At 40.6% G+C, this 21,146-nt stretch overlaps 1 long non-coding RNA gene and 1 pseudogene across 2 annotated transcripts in view; one reads left to right on the top strand and one right to left on the bottom strand.

Moving 5' to 3' along the window:
- LOC105377308 (uncharacterized) overlaps nucleotides 1–21,146 on the top strand; it is a 42,328-nt gene that overhangs the window by 5,838 nt on the left and 15,344 nt on the right. The gene's annotated exons all lie outside the window — the stretch shown is intronic.
- On the bottom strand, nucleotides 2,644–4,595 carry BIN2P1 (bridging integrator 2 pseudogene 1; annotated as a pseudogene).

Here is a 21,146-nt window from a genome sequence, read left to right as displayed (position 1 = left end):
GTTTCCTGACTTTTTAATGATAGCCATTCTAACTCGTGTACGATGGTATCTCATTGTGGTTTTGATTTCCATTTCTCTGTTGACCAGTGATGATGAGCATTTTTTCATATGTCTGTTGGCTGTATAAATGTCTTCTTTTGAGAAGTGTCTGTTCATATCCTTTGCCCACTTTTTGATGGGGTTGTTTTTTTTCTTGTAAAAGTGTTTAAGTTCTTTGTAGATTCTGGATATTAGCCCTTGGTCAGTTGGATAGATAGCAAATTTTTTCTCCCATTCTGTAGGTTGCCTGTTCACTCTGATGGTAGTTTCTTTTGCTGTGCAGAAGCTCTTTAGTTTAATTAGATCCCATTTGTCAATTTTGGCTTTTGTTGCCATTGCTTTTGGTGTTTTAGACATGAAGGCTTTGCCCATGCCTGTGTCCTGAATGGTATTGCCCAGGTTTTCTTCTAGGATTTTTATGGTCCTAGGTCTTACGTTTAAGTCTTTGATCCTCTTGAGTTGATTTTCATATAAGGTGTAAGGACAGGGTCCAGTTTCAGTTTTCTGCATATGGCTAGCTAGTTTTCCCAACAACATTTATTAAACAGGGAATCTTTTCCCCATTGCTTGTTTGTGTCAGGTTTGTCAAAGATCATATGGTGGTAGATGTGTGGTGGTATTTCTGAGGCCTCTGTTCTGTTCCATTGGTCTATATATCTGTTTTGGTACCAGTACCATGCTGTTTTGGTTACTGCAGCCTTGTAGTAAAGTTTGAAGTCAGGTAGTGTGATGCCTCCAGCTTTGTTCTTCTTGTCCAGGGTTGTCTTGGCTATGTGGGCTCTCTTTTGGTTCCATATGAAGTTTAAAGTAGTTTTTTCCAATTCTGTGAAGAAAATCAGTGGTAGCTTGATGGGGATAGCATTGAATCTATAAATTACTTTGGGCAGTATGTCCATTTTCACGATATTGATTCTTCCTATTCATGAGCATGGAATGTTTTTCCATTTGTTTGTGTCCTCTCTGATTTCCTTGAGCAGTGGTTTGTAGTTCTCCTTGAAGAGGTCCTTCATATCCTAGGTATTTTATTCTCTTTGTAGCAACTATGAATGGGAGTTCACTCATGATTTGGCTGTCTGTCTATTATTGGTGTATAGGAATGCTTGTGATTTTTGCACATTGATTTTGTATCCTGAGACTTTGCTGAAGTTGCTTAAGGAAATTTTGGGCCGAGACGATGGGGTTTTCTAAATATACAATCATGTCATCTGCAGAGACAATTTGACTTCCTCTCTTCCTATTTGAATACCCTTTATTTCTTTCTCTTGCCTGATTGCCTTGGCCAGAACTTCCAATACTGTGTTGAATAGGAGTGGCGAGAGCGGGCATCCTTGTCTTGTGCCGGTTTTCAAAAGGAATGCTTCCAGTTTTTGCCCTTTCAGTGATATTGGCTGTGGGTTTGTCATAAATAGCTCTTATTATTTTGAGATACGTTCCATTGATACCCAGTTTATTGAGGGTTTTAGCATGAAGCAGTGTTGAATCTTGTCGAAGGCCTTTTCTGCATCTATTGAGATATTCTGTGGTTTTTGTGATTGGTTCTGTTTATGTGATGGATTATGTTTATTGATTTGCATATGTTGAACCAGCCTTGCATCCCAGGGATGAAGCTGACTTGATCATGGTGGATAAGCTTTTTGATGTGCTGCTGGATTCGGTTTGCCAGTATTTTACTGAGAATTTTCGCATCGATGTTCATCAGGGATATTGGCCTGAAATTTTCTTTTTTTGTTGTGTCTCTGCCAGGTTTTGGTATCAGGATGATGCTAGCCTCATAAAATGAGTTAGGGAGGTTTCCCTCTTTTTTAATTGTTTGAAATAGTTTCAGAAGGAATGGTGCGAGCTCCTCTTTGTACCTCTGGTAGAATTTGGCTATGAATCCATCTGTTCATGGACTTTTTTTGGTTGGTTAGCTACTAATTACTGCCTCAATTTCAGAACTTGTTATTGGTTTATTCAGGGATTTGACTGCTTCCTGGATTAGACTTGGGAGGGTGTATGTGTCCAGGAATTTATCAATTTCTTCTAGATTTTCTAGTTTATTTGCATAGAGGTGTTTATAGTATTCTCTGATGGTAGTTTGTATTTCTGTGGGATCAGTGGTAATATACCCTATATCATTTTTTATTGCATCTATTTGATTCTTCTCTTTTCTTCTTTGTTAGTCTGGCTAGCAGTCTATCTATTTTGTTGATCTTTTCAAAAAACCAGGTCCTGGATTCATTGATTTTTTGATGGGTTTTTCCTATCTCTATCTCCTTCAGTTCTGTTCTGATCTTAGTTATTTCTTGTCTTCTGCTAGATTTTGAATTTGTTTGCTGTTGCTTTTCTAGTTCTTTTTTTTTTGTCAGAATCAGACTTTATTTAACAATCTGAAAATGTGTTCTTCTGGCTTTAAGTCTTGCAAAATGGGTCATAAGTCAAAGACAGATTTATTCACTGTCCTCTGAGTATGTGTGGTTATGTCTCTGTGTAGACAAGTGTCTGTGTCTATAGATACTTTTGCTTTTTATAGTGATTATAGCTCCACCTTAATGTATAAAGTCTTATTCTAATAATGCTAAAACCTGAATTAAATATTCCCTGAGTCTAATGTTCTCTTCTCCTCCCCAGCCTGCCTCCCTCCATCCCTCCCTTAAGGCTGCTCCTCCACCTCCATTAATGCCAGGTCTTTAGACAGCACCATCATTCTTACTGAGAACCCAGGGATGGATGCTGTCTATTATATCCCTCTGACCTATACCCTCTGGTTGAAGAGCTTCTCTGGGGAGGTGTGGGGCTTGGGGAATCTTGGCAGTTTCTCTTCAGAGTTGTGCATTTTCACTTGTAGATACCTCTTCTTGAGGTTCAGGTGCTGTGAGGTTGCTCTTGTCTGGTACTGTGGAGACTTTAAGCTGGTCTTGGCCCTCCGAGGAGTCAGCTGAGACAAGCTTGTTATCATTTTCCTTGTCTTCCATCTTCTTTGCCTCTCCAGGCTCTGAAGCAATGTGAGATGTCATTAAGGTGGGGGAAGTACAAAGTTCTTCGAGGTTCTGATTGTGGATGTTTTCATTTTCTTTGGCCTCAGGAGTTCTTACTGGCTTCTCTGGTGGTTCTGGATTAGGAGAGACCTCTAGGGAGGTCCTAGGACTTGGAGTCCCAGTCCCCAAGGAGGCCCTAGGGCTGGTGGGTGAACCCCCTCCAGAGGCTGGAGGGCTGGAGGGTATGTTCCCTGAGGAGGGCCTGGGGCTTGCAGTGGCTCTGGGTGGAGGAGGCCTACTAGGGGGTGCTGAGGTCCTCTGGATAGAGGCTCTCTTCTTTGATTGTTCAGATTTGTCACCTGCGGTGCGGGTTCGGAGGACTACTTCTGCGGCAGATGATAAAGGGTGTCCTGAAGGGCTTAGGGCTCCACCTGGTGATAGAGCAGGGGAGCTGGGGGGAACTTCTTCCTGGGACCTGGCACTCTCAATGATAGGAGAGGGCTGGGCCTGGGAGGGGCCGTTGCAGGTTAGTAGAGGCTCTTCTTCCTCAGAGGAGCTTGCTTCAGATCCTTCCTTCCCTATTTCCTCATCTTCTAAGAGCTCCTTGATCTCAGAATTGTCTTCCCCCTGGGCTGCATCAGGTGCCAGATCTTCAGTTGCTGAGACAGATTCACTCTTACTCTTCGAGGAAAGTGTAGAGGGACTAGTAGGTGAGGTAAGTGGACTGGAGACTGTAGATGTTCGAACTGGGGGAGAAATGACTAAAGAGCGCCTGCTGCTGCTTGATAGTCTCTTCACCACAAAGACTTTACTGGAATGTTGCTTCTCCAGTTTGCTCATCACCTCGGAGAGATTGTGGTTCAGTTTGCTCATTTCCCTGTAGAAGACATCCCTCAAGTTGGAAATGTTTTGGAAGATGGTCACATAGAGCCAGTATGACTATTATAAAGAATAGACAACTCCTCTAGTAGTTTGTTGATTTGCATATGTTGGTTCAGATCTTCACACACAGTCTGGGCTTTGTTGAACTATTCCTCTGCCTTGGCAGTCTTGGCCTCATCTTTCTTGGCATTCTGCACTGCCTCCAGGTGATGTCGGGCACTGTCACAGTCCACGAGTTTCCACCCCGCTTGGCAATTCTCTCCTTACTTTTGCTGAACTGGGTAATGTACTTTTCCATGGTCCTCACAGCCCGATCAGCAAGTTTCTCCTCTAGTCTTCCCAAAGGAGATCATTATTCTCTATGATGGCCTTCAGCTCCTCATGACCATCCCACTCACTGCTGTAGATCTCCTGCAGGGTTTCTTACACTCTTTTTGAGCTTTCATGCATCACTTTGACTGCACTAAGGAAGTTCTTCAGGTCCTTGTATAGTTGTGGCCTTCTGCCTGTTGTTGGTAGAAGTTGTTAGCACTTTGTTCAAATTGTTCATCTTTGGTTTCTACAGTTTTCCCCGATTTCTGCAGCACCTTCTCCTGGGCCCTGCTGAACTTCTGCACCTGCTTGGTGAAGAGGCCGGCTGTGCTGCCCGCCTTGCCCTCTGCCATCCTGCCGGCTCCCTGGGGGCTGCCACCCTGGCCCCATGCCCTGTGGTTTTCTTGCTTCCCTAGTTCTTTTAATTGTGATGTTAGGGCGTCAATTTTAGATCTTTCTTGCTTTCTCTTGTGGGTATTTAGTGCTATAAATTTCCCTCTACACACTGCTTTAAATGTGTCCCAGAGATTCTGGTACGTTGTGTCTTCGTTCTCATTGGTTTCGAAGAACATCTTTATTTCTGCCTTCATTTCTTTTTACACAGTAGTCATTCAGGAGTAGGTTGTTCAGTTTCCATGTAGTTGTGTGGTTTTGAGTGTTTCTTAATCCTGAGTTCTGGTTTGATTGCACTGTGGTCTGAGAGACTGTTTGTTGTGATTTCTGTTCTTTTGCATTTGCTGAGGAGTGTTTTACTTCCAATTATGTGGTCAACTTTAGAATAAGTGCGATGTAGTGCTGAGAAGAATGCATATTCTGCTGATTTGGGGTGGAGAGTTCTGTAGATGTCTATTAGGTCCACTTGGTCCAGAGCTGAGTTCAAGTCCTGAATACCCTTGTTAATTTTCTGTCTTGTTGATCTGTCTAATGTTGACAGTGGGATGTTAACGTCTCCCATTATTATTGTGTGGGAGTCTAAGTCTCTTTGTAGGTCTCTAAGAACTTGCTTTATGAATCTGGGTGCTCTTGTACTGGGTGCATATATATTTAGGATAGTTAGCTATTCTTGCTGCATTGATTCCTTTACCATTATGTAATGCCCTTCTTTGTCTCTTTGATCTTTGTTGGTTTAAAGTCTGTTTTATCAGAGACTGGGATTGCAACCCTTGCTTTTTTTTTTGCTTTCCATTTGCTTGGTAAATATTCCTCCATCCCTTTATTTTGAGCCTATGTGTGTCTTTGCATGTGAGCTGGGTCTTCTGAATATAGCACACTGATGGGTCTTGACTCTTTATCCAACTTGCCAGTCTGTGTCTTTTAATTGGGACATTTAGCCTGTTTACACTTAAGGTTAATATTGTTATGTGTGAATTTGATCCTGTCATTATGATGCTAACTGGTTGTTTTGCCCATTAATTGATGCAGTTTCTTCATAGTGTCGATGTTCTTTACAATTTGATATGTTTTTGCAGTGGTTGCTACCAGTTGTTCCTTTCCATGTTTAGTGCTTCCTTCAGGAGCTCTTGTAAGGCAGGCCTGGTGGTGACAAAATCTCTCAGCATTTGCTTGTCTGTAAAGGATTTTATTTCTCCTTCGCTTATGAAGCTTAGTTTGGCTGAATATGAAATTCTGGGTTGAAAATTTTTTCCTTTAAGAATGTTGAATATTGGCCCCCACTCTATTCTGGCTTGTAGGGTTTCTGCAGAGATCTGCTATTAGTCTGATGAGCTTCCCTGTGTGGGTAACTCTACCTTTCTCTCTGGCTGCCCTTACCATTTTTTCCTTCATTTCAACCTTGGTGAATCAGGCAATTATGTGTCTTGGGGTTGCTCTTCTCAAGGAGTATTTTAGTGGTGTTCTCTGTATTTCCTGAATTTGAATGTTGGCTTGTCTTGCTAGGTTGGGGAAGTTCTCCTGGATAATATCCTGCAGAGTGTTTTCCAACTTGGTTCCATTCTCCTCGTCACCTTCAGGTACACCAGTCAAACATAGATTTGATGTTTTCACGTAGTCTTATATTTCTTGGAGGCTGTGTTCGTTCCTTTTTATTCTTTTTTCTCGAATCTTGTCTTCTCTCTTTATTTCATTAAGTTGATCTTCAATCTCTGATATCCTTTCTTTTGTTTGATTGATTCAGCTATTGAAACGTGTGTATGTTTCACGAAGTTGTCGTGCTGTGTTTTTTAGCTCCCTCAGGTCATTTGTGTTCTTCTCTACACTGGTTATTCTAGTTAGCCATTTGTCTAACCTTTTTTCAAGGTTCTTAGCTTCCTTGCATTGGGTTAGAACATGCTCCTTCAGCTCAGAGGAGTTTGTTATTACCCACCTTCTGAAAACTACTTCTGTCAATTTGTCAAACTCATTCTCTGTCCAGTTTTGTTCCCTTGCTGGCGAGGAGATGTGATCCTTTGGAGGAGAAGAGGCGTTCTGGTTTTTGGAATTTTCAGCCTTTTGCACTGGTTTCTGCCCATCTTTGTGGATTTATCTACCTTTGGTCTTTGATGTTGGTGACCTTTGGATGGAGTCTTTGAGTGGACATGCTATTTCTTTCTGTTTGTTAGTTTTCCTTCTGACAGGCCCCCTGCTGCCCATCTGCTGGAGTTTGCTGGAGGTCCACTCCCAAACCTGTTTGCCTGGGTATCAACAGCGGAGGCTGCAGAACAGCAAATTTTGCCGCATGATCTTTCCTCTGGAAGCTTTGTTCCAGAGGGGCACCTGTCAGATGCCAGCCAGTGCTCTCCTGTGTGAGGTGTCTGTCGGCCCCTACTGGGAGGTGTCCCCCAGTCAGGATACATGGGGGTCAGGGACGTACTTGAGGAGGCAGTCTGACCCTTAGCAGAGCTTGAACGCTCTGCTGAGAGGTCCGCTGCTCTCTTCAGAGCCATCAGGCAGGGACGTTTAAGTCTGCTGAAGCTTTGCCCACAGCTGCCCCTTTCCCCAGGTGCTCTGTCCCCAGGGAGATGGGGGTTTTATCTATAAGTCCCTGACTGGGTCTGCTGCCTTTTTTTCAGAGATGCCCTGCTCAGAGAAGGGAAATCTGGCAGTCTGGCCACAGCAGCCTTGCTGAGCTGCTGTGGGCTCCACCCAGTTTGAACTTCCCAGCAGCTTTGTTTACACTGTGAGTGTAAAACCACCTACTCAAGCCTCAGCAATGGCAGGCACCCCTCCCCTCACCAAGCTGGAACATCCCAGGTTGATCTCAGACTGCTGCTGTGCTAGCGGCGAGAATTTCAAGCCCGTGGATCTTAGTTTGCTGGGCTCCGTGGGAGTGGGGCCTGTTTAGCCAGATCACTTGGCTCCCTGGCTTCAGCACCCCTTTCCAGTGGAGTCAGCGGTTCTGTCTTTCTAGCATTCCAGGTAACACTGGGGTATGGAAAAAAAGAACTCCTGTAGCTAGTTCGGTGTCTGCCCAAATGGCCACCCAGTTTTGTGCTTGAAACCCAGGGCCCTCGTGGGGTGGGCACCGGAGGGAATCTCCTGGTTTGCAGGTTGTGAAAACAGTGGGACAAGCATAGTATCTGTGCCGGCGTTCCTCAGGCTCAGTCCCTCACGGCTTCCTTTAGGTGGGGGAGAAAATTCCCCGATCCCTTGCACTTCCCGGGTGAGGCGATGCCCCACTGTGCTTTGGCTCACCCTCTGTGGGCTGCACCCACTGTCCAACCAGTCCCAATGAGATGAACCAGGTACCTCAGTTGGAAATGCAGAAATCACCTGCCTTCTGTGTTGATCTCACTGGGAGCTGCAGACCGGAGCTGTTCCTATTTGGCCATCTTGCCACAGAATCCTACTGCCAACTATTTTATAAGACTTACTGAATATCCTTTCCCCACTCATTTTTTTTTTTTGAGGGATGGGGTCTCACTCTTATCACCCAGGCTGCAGTGCAGTGGGGTTATCATCACTCACTACAGCCTCGAACTCCTGGCTCCATCCTTCCATCTCAGCCTCCCAACTAGCTGAAATTATAGGCATGAACCACTGCATCTGGCTTCCACAGTAATTTGAAATGCCACTTTTACCGTAGGTTAAAGTCCCATATATATATATGACTTTATATATATATATGACTTTATATATATTGTATATTGTTCTATATATATATATTGTTCATTGGACTTTAGGGTTGATTTCTGTGCTCATTTCTGTGCTAATATCACAATGATTCGGTAATTGTAGCTTAAATGACTTTACATTTAACAATTTGGAGATAATTAATATATTTACAATATTCAGTCATTGAGTCTTCCCATCTAGAAACATGAGTTGTCTTTCTGTTTATTCTACTGACTTCCTATGATCTTTTTCATAAAGGCTTGACAAATTTTTGTTACATTTATTCTGGGATATTTTGGCTGTTCTTGTTAATGGAATTTGTTCTCCATAAGGTTTTCAAACTGGCTAATTTTGGCATGTAGAAAATCTATTAGCTATATTTAATTATTTGCATATAGTCCGTGCTCCATTATATTTTAATTTCCTTAAGGCCAGCGGCTTCCCATAGAGCTCAAAGAGCTTTGCTCAGCATGAACATGACATAGGATACTATTGCTGACTGTCATATTAGTCTTTTCCACTATGCTTAGCAACCAGTGGAGGAAACCTCAGGTAACAGTATTTGTGGAAACTGGATAATGATTCAAGGTAGCGTAGTAAGAAGACACTGAAGGGACTTTGGCATCAAGCATACCTGGATTTGAATCCTTACTTTGCATCTCTGAACTACACTTTGTTCCTTAGGCTCATCTCTGTGCCTAATTCATAAAATGAGCTAAGGCATATAAAGCATAAAGCATATAGTGACTGGCCCTTAGTAGGTGTCCATAATGGGGGTAGCCGTAACAGATGGCAGTTATGATCATGATGGTTTCATATTTTCATGTAACCAAATCTATCCATTAAGATGCACATTACATTTTTTTTTTAATTTCTTCCTTTTCTTTTTTTTTTTTTTTTGAGACCAAGTCTCACTCTATCGCCCAGGCTGGAGTGCAGTGGCACGATCTCGGCTCACTGCAACTTCTCCTCTTGGGCTCAAGCGATCCTCTCACCTCAGTCTCCCAAGTAGCTGGGATTACAGGCATGCACCATCCCACCAGGATAATTCTTTGTATTTTTAGTAGAGACGGGGTTTCGCCATGTTGGTCAGGCTTGTCTCAAACTCCTGACCTCAAGTAATGCGCCCGCCTCGGCCTCCCAAAGTGCTGGGATTACAGGCGTGCACCATCATGTCTGGCTAATTTTTGTATTCTTTTTGTAGAGATAGGATTTCATCCTGTTGCCCAGGCTGGCCTTGAACTCCTGGGCTCAAGCAGTCCTCCTGCCTCAGCCTCCCAGAGGGCTGGGATTACAAGCATGAGCCACGGCACCCGACCCACACCTGGGTCTATATTTACAAAACTTTATGGAAGGTATATTAATATAAATAATAAAAAATCTATAAAAAGAGTTATTTGAAGTGTTGGGTGTGTGTGTGGGGAAGGGTGCGTGTGAGATGGGCTGGTCAGGAACACTACAAACCTGTGATTACAGAGTGGTTGTATCAAATATTTCCTTTGACCTTCAGAAATACCATATATCCCAAATCCAAAAACAGTCATTTGCTACCTGAACCTTCTGCACCAGCTACCAATTGTGAAACTCAACATGATGGGCTTCTGTTCTTTGCCTAAATCATGGTGAAAACATTCACACAAAGCCATTAGTTCTCTCTCTCTCTGTGTCTCTCTTTCTTTCGATGAGGTGTCTGTCACCCAGGCTGGAGTGCAGTGGTGCGATCTCAGCTCACTGCAACCTCTGCCTCCCTGGTTCAAGCGATTCTCCTGCCTCAGCCTCCTGAGTAGCTGGGACTACAGGCATGTGCCACCATGCCTGGCCAATTTTTGGGGTATTTTTTTTTTTTGTAGAGACGGGGTTTCACCATGTTGCCCAGACTGGTCTCGAACTCCTCAGCTCAAGCTCGAACTGCCTCAGCCTCGAGTGCTGGGATTATAGGCGTGAGCCACTGCACCGAGCCCAAGATGAATATTTAAGAAAGTCCAGCCTGGACTGTGTGAGGTACCTCTTTATACGTTTAGAGGACATGTTTGAGTCATCATTTAAGGCATATGTTATAGGAATTTTCTAAAATTCTTCGTTTTGAAAAGTGTGTTATATGTCAGTCTCCCCTCACTAGCTTGTAAATTTCCTGAGAGCGGGGACCATGTATTACCAAATCTTTTTATCCTCAGTACCTCACACAGTTGTGGACACAAATTAAGTGGCTGCATTTCATAGTATGAAGTACAATAATTTATTTAATCATTCCCTTCCTGTCTCCACTTTTTTTTTATAATACAAAAGAGGTTGAATTTTCATTTTTTGCTAAGAAGTATAGCCAAATTTAAGACAGCATGTACAAGTGGGAAACATTGCTGAAGGCCACCCAAATGTGGGCATTGTACTATCCTGTGGTTGTTTTAAATGTAGCTGGCATGTGAGAGCCAGCAGAGGGAGCACAGAGCACAGCGTTGAGGGAGAAAGCAGCCTACAGTTGTGCTAGGGAAGAATTGAAGAGGACACTCAGGGATTTTACAGAGGAAGGAAATGAGAGCTGGGAAGAAGGTCATTTCTCATCTTCATTCTTGTCTGCCTTGCTCTCTTTTGTAACTCATTCAGGCTCAGACAGGCTTGTTCTTATCTTTTGTCCCCTGCACTGCAGCTTTCCACAGCCCATTCCTGTCCTTTAGTTAATTACACAAGAAGACCCACAAGTGCCATCATGTTCTCCACGCTGGTTTCTTTTTGGGCCAGCTCAGTTACTTAGCTCAGATGCAGCGGGTAAGTATTGGTGAGATTCCCAGAAAAACACTGAGGAACCCAGGAGCCTTGATCACACATCTGTACTGAATAAAGCCAAGTGGGGACCTGAAGGATGGGAGAGAGGACTGGGCTTAGCTCATCTCTGCACTAGGATTTAAAGAGGCAAATGAAGCCTGGCCAGGGGAGTGCTGTAGGGAGTGGGGTTTCTGGAGAGAGGAAGGAATACCACTTCCTGTTATATTGTCTTGCATAAGCAGATCTGAGGCAAGCACAGAACCACATGTGACATGTCCCCGGTCACAAAGAAGCCAATGTAGACTGGAGTTTCTCAGCTTTTCCTGTGCAATACTAGAGTGTTAATAGGTATTCTGTAAGAATAAGATTTGTCATCAAATGTGTGTGTGGATTGAAAAAATTAAACAGTTTTCTTTACTGTGGGAGTCCTTAGGTCCTTCATTAGGCATGTTAATATAGTTGGTGAAATTCTGATAGAAGGGGCTATGCTATGTGGGCTTTCCCAGCTTATGTGGACTGAATTTATTTTATTTTATTTTATTTTAGAGACAAGGTCTCACTATCTTGCCCACACCTGAACTCCAGTGCTCAAGCAATTCTCCCACCTTAGTTTTTTGAGTAGTTTGGACTATAGGTGCATGTCGTCATGTCTGGCTTAATTTTTAATAGATGGTATCTTACGAGATGAGTATACTATGAATTACATTTTGGAAAGTGTTGAAACAGATTTGCCTAATGTTTAGGAAATTAGGTCATTAAACCATGAAATACAGTCGTAACACTTTCAAAAGGGCACTGTCTTCTAAGGTCTCCCGTGGCTTTTCATTCCCAGGGAGGTGTGGAGGGGTAGGATGGTGAAGGGAGGCATATCAGAATCCTGAGTGGGGCTTTTTGAAATCTCTTCCTCTCAGTTATTTCAATAACATTCTTACTATCTCTTCCTCATAGTTGAGGACCTTTTGAATAGTGAGCCACTGCTATTACTGGAAATGATTGCATCTCTCAGGTGTATTGGAGGAGAGAAAGCAATTGTAAACCATTGTTCTACAAGTTGAGTCAAAAATTCTCTACATGGCTGGGCATGGTGGCTCATGCCTATAATCCCAGCACTTTGGGAGGCTGAGGTGGGAGGATCACTTGAGCCCAGGAGTTCAAGATCAGCCTGGGCAACATAATGAGACCCTATCTCAAAAACAAACAAACAAACAAACAAACAAACAAAACCCAAATTCTCTACATGTTGTTTAAGGTTTTCTATTGCATTCTCCAACTCCAGTGTTTTCCTTACTTTAACCTTCTTCTCCTCCCCATGTTAATCACTACCATAGCCAATTTAGTTTACTCACTTACCTGAGATTATATTATGCCAGTGACAGACTGGAAGCTTGTGGTTATACAATCTTTCCCATGTTCTCCTAATTCTTTCTCCATCTTTCAACATCTAGCTTAAGTCTTACTTCCATCTGAGGTCTCTGGTAATCTACAAGCCTACATCACCTAATTTTTACATTATTGGCTTCTGTCATTAATTGCATACAGCTGATTCTTTGTTATCAAATTTATTTGGTTTCAAAAGTTTGTAAAGTTGATTGTTTGGAATGTAGAGCACATTTCTCTGCAGCAATATTGTAGCTAAGTCAAGGCACATTTGCAGTAAAAATAGTAGAAAGCAATCTCTAGCAATTAAACAAATCAGAACTCTAGTAATTAAACAAAACAGGGAATCAATAAGACTGAATTAGCTTATTCTCATTTATCTTGGGGTGCTGGTTTTTAAGGAATAGTAGGTTTAATTAAAAGAGGATGAAGAGGTATTGGAAATTCATGGATATTCTGAATGGGCCTTATGGGGCAATTTCACAGAAGACATGGGCTCTTTGTTATGTCTTCATTATTTCGCAACCTGTAGCCCTCCATTTCCATGATGCTGATATCTAGCTACTAGTGCTTTTGTACTTAGCCACGATTTGGATTATTTTTGTCTTAAAAAACATTGTGGGAGAATGTCAGCAAAAATGGCTGAGTAAGGACCTCTCAAAATTTTCCCTTCCATAAGAGAAATGAAAAAACTGGCAAAATTATTCAGAATTAACATTTTCAGAACTCCAGAAATTAACTAACAGCTTGTAGCAAACCAGGGAACATTTATTTAAGAAAAATGGCTGCATCTCAGTAAGAACAGTGAAGTCTGTGGCATTTTTTTTTATTATACTTTAAGTTCTAGGGCACATGTGCACAACGTGCAGGTTTGTTACATATGTATACATGTGCTATGTTGGTGTGCTGCACCCATTAACTCATCATTTACATTAGGTATATCTCCTAATGCTATCCCTCCCCACTTCCTCCACCCCACAACAGGCTCTGGTGTGTGATGTTCCCTACCCTGTGTCCAAGTGTTCTCATTGTTCAATTCCCACCTATGAGTGAGAACATGCGGTGTTTGTTTTTCTGTCCTTGCAATAGTTTGCTCAGAATGATGGTTTCCAACTTCATCCCTGTCCCTACAAAGGACATGAACTCATCATTTTTTATGGCTGCATAGTATTCCGTGGTGTTTATGTGCCACATTTTCTTAATCCATTTGGGTTGGTTCCAAGTCTTTGCTATTGTGAATAATGCCACAATAAACATACATGTGCATGTGTCTTTATAGCAGCATGATTTATAATCCTTTGGGTATATACCCAGTAATGGGATTGCTGGGTCAAATGGTATTTCCAGTTCTAGATCCTTGAGGAATTGCCACACTGTCTTCCACAGTGGTTGAACTAACCCTAGTCCCACCTTCTACTTTCCAGCTATGCAATAGCCTTAAAAAGTAACAACCCATATTTTTGGGGGCAGCCACCAGAGTGGGTCTATAACTCTTTCCAAGCCTTGTGCTCTAAGAATTGTCATCCAACTTGTCTGATGGTTCCCTAGAAGACCCCACCTATAAGGCTGACTGAGAACTCACTCAGTGTTAAGTCCCTTTCTGTCCTAGGGGGCATTGTAAAAGACAATTGTAGGCAAGTGTTTTAACTTTGCCTACAAAGTTGCCTGAGGTGATGGACAATAACTGGGGCAAAATAGACTAACAAAAAGCTTAAAAGGACTAACTGGAGAATGAAATATGCATAGGGGCTTTGCAAAGCTTTAATATATTCCTGGTATCTGGAAGGTCATTTACATGAAAGGGCTGTAAGCACGCTTAGAAAAGAATTGAGAAGACTCTAAGCTAAGCTCTCAACTCTGGTTTATCTTGAGATTCTGTACAAGCAGGAAGTGAAGGCTAAGGTGGAGTTGTAAGATTTTCTAGTTTTAAAGGTGTGCACTAGTACCCATACAAAGTCACTCAGAAAACTCTGGGAGATGTATTGGTTCCAGATGTAAGGAAATCTCTGTTTAATCATTAGCTTGTCAAAAGTTAACCAAGTAGAGACAGGAACATGGCAATGAATACAGACTTTACAGAATTAGTTCTGAATAGTCACTAAAACAAACAACAACAATTCCTGTAGATGAGGAGGGAGGGATCTGATTGTAAGAGTTGTAACATTATATTATTATATTTTTTTATTTTTAATGTGTTTTTTTTTTGAAATATAGTCTCACTCTGTTGCCCAGGCTGGAGTGCAATGGCGCGATCTTGGCTCACTGCAACCTCCATCTCCCGGGTTCAAGCGATTCTTCTGCCTCAGCCTCCTGAGTAGCTGGGATCACAGGCACCCGCCATTATGCCCAGCTAGTTTTTGTATTTTTGTAGAGATGGGGTTTCACCATGTTGGCCAGGCTGGTCTTGAACTCCTGACCTCAGGTGATCTGCCCCCCTTGGCCTCCCAAAGTGCTGGGATTACAGGCATGAGCCACTGTGCCTGGCCAACATTATATTATTTTAAATGTCCAGTTTTCAACAAAAAATGAGTGTGCTTTACTAAGTTTTGAACTTACTTGGGATCCATTACTCTTTCTTATATCCTATTTTTCCCTTTTGGTATGGGAATGTCTTTCCTATGCCTGTCCTACCATTGTATTTTTGAAGTGCATAACTTTTTTAGTTTTACAGGTTCATAGCTGGAGAGGAATTTTGCATCAGGAAGACTTGTCACTTGTCTCACCCACATCTGATTTAAATTTTTTTTTTTTTTTTTTTTTTTTTTTGAGACAGTCTCACTCTGTCACCCAGGCTGGAGTGCAGTTGCATGATCACGGCTTACTGGAGCCTTGACTTCCTGGGCTCAATCGATCCTCCTGTCTCAGCCTCCTGAATAGCTGGGACTATAGGCATGTGTCACTACGCATGGCTAATTTTTGTATTTTTTGTAGAGATGGGGTTTTGCTGTGTTGCCCAGGCTGGTCTCAAACTCCTGGGCTCAAGGGATCCTCCTGCCTCAGTCTCCCAAAGTGCTGAGATTACAGGCATAAGCCACTGCACCTGGCCTGATTTAAATATTTAAGTGAGACATTGGACCTTAGACTTTAGAGTTGATGCTGGAATGAGTTACGATTTTGGGGGCTGTTGAAATAGAATGAATGTATTTGGCATATGAGAAGGACATGAATTTTGAGGGGCCTGGAGTAAAATGCTATGGATTGAATATCTGTGTCCCCACAAAATTCATATGTTGAAACCTTATTCCCCAATATTATGGTATTTGGAGATAGGCCTTTGGGAGGTGAGCAGGTCATGAGGTTGGTGCCCTCATGCTGAGATTAAAATGCTCTTATAAGAAGAGACATAAGATAATTTACTTCTTCCCTCTCCACTGTGTTAGGGTACAATGAGTAGGTGGTGGTCTACAAACCAGGAAGAGCCCCTTGCCAGACACTGGATCTGCTGGTGCTTTGGTCTTCCCAGCTCCCAGAACTGTGAGAAAAACACGTTTGTTGTTTAAGCTACCTAGGCTATGGTATTTTTGTTATAGCAGCTGGAACTAAGAAAGAGTCCTTTAGGTTGAATCGAAAGAACTCTATACAGTAACTCAAACCTATATGGAGAAATAACACAAGTAAAGTAATCATGTAGGTAAATATTAAAGGCATATAAATGTATTTGTTGTTTATTATTTATCTTTTTTTCTCATATCTGACTTAGAAGGCAATTGCATGGGGCAATAACTATAAATCTGTATTGATGAGCACATAATAATAATAGCATAGAGGAGTTGAACTATTTAGAGCATTTAAAAAAATATACCATTGGGCTGGGCACGGTGGCTCATGCCTGTAATTCCAGCACTTTGGGAGGCCAAGGTCTGTGGATCATTTGAGGTCAGGAGTTTGAGACCAGCCTGACCAACATGGTGAAAACCCGCCTCTACTAAAAATACAAAAATAAGCTGGGTGTGATGGCACTTCCCTGTAGTCCCAGCTACTTGGGAGGCTGAGGCAGGAGAATTGCTTGAGCCTGGGAGGCAGAGGTTGTAGTGAGCCGAGATTGCACCACTGCACTCCAGCCTGGGTGACAAAGCAAGACTCCATCTCAAAAAACAATTTTTTTAATATATATATATAATTGAAATTAAGTTGATATTAATCAGAACTAGATCGTTATAAACTGAGATGTTAATGGTAACTCCCAGGGCAGCCAATAAGAAAATAACTCAAAAATATATAATAAAAGAATTGACAAGGGAATTAAAATGGTACATGAAAAAATATGTATTTAACACCAAAGAAGGCAATATTGGGGGACTTGAGGAACAAAAAAGACAGGTAGAAAACAGATAGCAAAATGGCAGACATATATCCTACCTTATCAGTAATTAAATTAAATATAAATGGGTTATGCTCTCTGTTTGAAAGCAGAGATTGGCAGCATGAATAAAAAAAAGATCCAACTGTATGCCATCTACAAAAGACTCACTTTAGATTCAAAGACACAAGTAAATTGAAAGTAAAGGTTGGATAAAGATATGCCATGCAAATAGTAACCAAAGAGATGGAGTAGCTATACCAATATGAGACAAATAGATTTTAAGACAAAAAATGTCACTAGAGACAAAGAAAGACATTTTGTCATGCTTAAAAGGTCAATCCATCAGGAAGACAAATTTATAAACATATATGCACCTAACAACAGAGTCCCACATTACGCAAACTAAAAACTCAGAGTTGAATAAAAAAAATAGAAAATTAAAAAACAATAGTTGGGACTCCACTTTCAGAAGGGGAGAGAACAACTAGGCAAAAAAGTAAACAAGGAAATAGAAGACTTAACACTATAAAGCAATGATGCCTAATAGATAACCATAGGACACTCCAACAGCAGAATGCACAATATTCTCATGTACCCATAGAATGAATATCCTCCCAGGTAGACCATATATTAGGCTACAAAAGAAGCCTCAGTAAGTTTAAAGGGATTGAAATTATTACAAAATATGTTATCCAACCACAGTTCAATGACATTTGAAATCAGTAGCAGAAGGAATTTCTGGAAATTCAACATATGTGAAAATTAAACAACATACTCCAAAATAACCGAGAAGTCAAAGAAGAAATCACAAGAGAAATTCAGTCACACTTGGAAATGAATAAAAATGAAAACACGACCATGAAAACCTGCCAAAATATAGGATGCAGCTAAAATAGTACTTAGAGGGAATTTATAGAAATATAAATTCTAAATTCAAATTCTGTCAATTAAACAGTCAATCAATAACTCTTTAGATTTAGTAGAAAATCCTAAAGAATCCACTAAAAATCTGTTAGAACTAGCAAACTATTTCAGCAAGATTGCAGGATACAAGATCAACACACAAAGGTCAATATACAAAGATTAATTATAGTTTTAGACACTTGCAATGAGCAATCAAAAAATAAAATTAAAAAAATTCCATTTATGATGTTATCAAAAATAATTAAAAGAATAGGAATAGATTTAACAAAAGAAGTACAAACCTTATAGTCTGAAAACTAGAAAATATGTTTGAAAGGAATTAAAGAAGGTCTAAATAGAAGAAATCCTATGTTTATGGATTGGAAGACTAAACATTGTTAAGATGACAGTATGCCTCCAATTAATCTACAGATATGATACAATTCCTATTAGAATCCCAGTTGACTTCTTTATAGAAACTGTCAAGCTGATTCTAACATATGTCAAGAGATATTAATAGCCAAAACAATCATGAAAAGGAGGAACAAAGTACAATAGCTCACACTTCCCAATTTCAAAACCTACTACAAAGCAATGGTTATCAAGACAGCATGGTACTGGCATAAGAATAGACATGTAGATTAATGGAGTAGAACCGACAGTACAGACATCGGTCCTACATTTATGGTCCACTGATTTTTGACAAGGGTGCCATAACCATCCACTGGGGAAAGAATAGTCCCTCCAACAAATGTTGCTGGGACACCTGGATAGTTACAAACAAAAGAATGAAGTTTACACTGTATAAAAAACTAACTCAAAATAGATGAAAGACCTAAATGTAATAGCTACAACTATAAGACTCTTAGAAGAAAACACAGCCAGTAGGTAAATCTTCATGACCTTGGATTTGGCAAAGCAGTCTTAGATATGATACCAAAAGCATAAGTAACAAAGGGAAAGACAGATAAATTGGACTTAATCAAAATTAAAAATGTTTGTGCTTCAAAGGACACCAACAAGGAAGTGAAAGGCAGCCCACAGAAAGGGAGAAAATATTTGCAAATCATATATCTGATAAGGGACTTGTACCTAGAATATATAAAGAACTCTTACAACTCAGTAATAAAAGACAAGTAACTCAATTAAGAAATGGGACCTAAATAGTCATCTCTCCAAAGAAGATATACAAATGTCCAATAAACACATGAAAAGATGCTCAGCATTATTAGTTATCAGAGAAATGCAAATCAAAATCTTTCTGAGATATCACTTTAAACCCAGTAGGATGGCTTGAATCGAAAAGCCAGATAATAACAAGTATCACTGAGGTTGTGGAGAAATCAGAACCTTTATACACTGCTATTGGGAATGTAAAATGGTGCAGCTGCTGGCAGTTCCTCAGATGATTAAACATAGAGTTACCATGTGACCCAGGAGTTCCATCCAAGAGAAATGAAAACACATATCCACATAAAAACTTGTACATAAAATTTTACATTATTTTTAGTTGACACATAATAATTGTACATATTTATGGGGTACAGTGTGAGATTTCAATACATGTATACAATATATGTGCAATGATCAAATCAGGGTAATTAGCATATCCATCACCTCAAACATTTATTATTTCTTTGTGTTGGAAACATTCAAAATCCTCTCTTCTAGTTATTTTAAAATAAACAATAAAATATTGTGAACTATAGTCACCCTATAGTGCTATAGGACACTAAAACTTATTCCTCCTATGTTGCCATACTTTTGTATTCATTAACCAATCTCTCCTTATTCCCCTCTCTTCCCACATTTACAGCCTTGAGTAATCACTACTGTACTCCTTATTTCTATATGAACTTTTTAAAGATTCCATCCAACCCCATTGGAAATGAGGAAAAATAAAAAAAATAAAAAATTAAGATTCCATATGAGTGACAATATGTGTTACTTATCTTTTTTGCCTGGTTTATTTCACTTACTAACGTAATCACAGCTATACTGATTTATGTTCCCACCAACAGGGTGTAAGAACTCCCTTTTCTCCATATCCTTTCTGACATTTGCTATTTTTTGTCTTTTTGATAATTGCCATTCTAACTAGGGTGAGATGATATCTCACTGCGGTTTTGATTTGCATTTCCCTGGTAAGTGATGTTGAGCATTTTTTCATATACTTCTTGACCATTTGTATGTCTTCTTTTGAGAAATGTTCAGTTCCTTTAAAAATCAGATTATTATTATTATTATGTTGAGTTGTTTGAATTCCTTGTATATTCTGCATATTAATCCTTTGTTGGATAAATAGTTTGCAAATATTTTCTCCCATTCTGCAGGTGGTCTGTTCATTCTGTTGATGGTTTCCTTTTCTGTGCAGAAGCTTTTTAGTTTGACAGAATTTCATTTATCTGTTTTTGCTTTTGTTGTCTGTGCTTTTGAGGTCTTATCCATAAAATCTTTGCCCAGATGAAGGTCCTGAAGCATTTTCCCTGTTATCTTCTGGTAGTTTCTTAGTTTTGATCTTACATTAAAGTCTTTAATCCATTTTGAGTTGCTTTTTGTATATGGTGAGAGATAGGGGTTTGGTTTCGTTCCTCTGCATCTGGATATCTAGTTTTCTCAGCACTATTTGTTAAAGAGACTATTCTTTCCCCAATGTATGTTCTTGGTGCTTTTGTTGAAAATCAGTTGGCTGTAAATATTTGGATTTATTTCTGGGCTCTCTGTTCTATTCCATTGGTCTATGTGTCTGTTTTTATGCCAGTACCATGCCATTTTGATTATTATAGCTTTGTAGCATATCTTGAAGTCAGGTAGTATGATGCCTCCAGCTTTGTTCTTTTTGCTTAGGAGTGCTTTGGCTATTCAGGGTCCTTGGTGGTTCCATATAAATTTTAAGATTGTGTGTTCTTGTATGTGAATTTTTTTTTTTTTTTTTTTTTTTTTTTTTTTTTTTTTTTTTTTTGAGACGGAGTCTCGCTCTGTCGCCCAGGCTGGAGTGCAGTGGCGCGATCTCGGCTCACTGCAAGCTCCGCCTCCCGGGTTCACGCCATTCTCCTGCCTCAGCCTCCCGAGTAGCTGGGACTACAGGCGCCCGCTACCACGCCCGGCTAATTTTTTGTATTTTTAGTAGAGACGGGGTCTCGATCTCCTGACCTCGTGATCCGCCCGCCTCGGCCTCCCAAAGTGCTGGGATTACAGGCGTGAGCCACCGCGCCCGGCCCATATGTGAATTTTTATAGCAGCATTATTCATAGTAGCTGAAAGATAGAAACAACCCAAATGTCTATCAGCTGACAAATGTATAAATAAAATGTGATGCATACTATAATGGAACATTTTTAAACCATAAAAAGAAATAAGGTACAGATAAATGCTACAACTTGGGTAAACCTTGAAAATACACTAAGTGAAAGAAGCCAGACACAAAAGTCTATGTATTACATGATTCTATTTATAAGAAAGTCCAGAATAGGGAAATAGATGAAGACAGAAGGCAGAATAGTGTTTGCTTTGGGCTGCAGGAGAGATAGCAGCCCAGAGGGAGGGTTATAACTAAAAGACAT

Source organism: Homo sapiens, chromosome 4 (genome assembly GCF_000001405.40).
Source record: "Homo sapiens chromosome 4, GRCh38.p14 Primary Assembly".
Lineage (NCBI taxonomy): Eukaryota > Metazoa > Chordata > Mammalia > Primates > Hominidae > Homo > Homo sapiens.
Note: the sequence above shows the minus strand (reverse complement) of the source record. Positions and strands in the feature narration are given on the sequence as shown.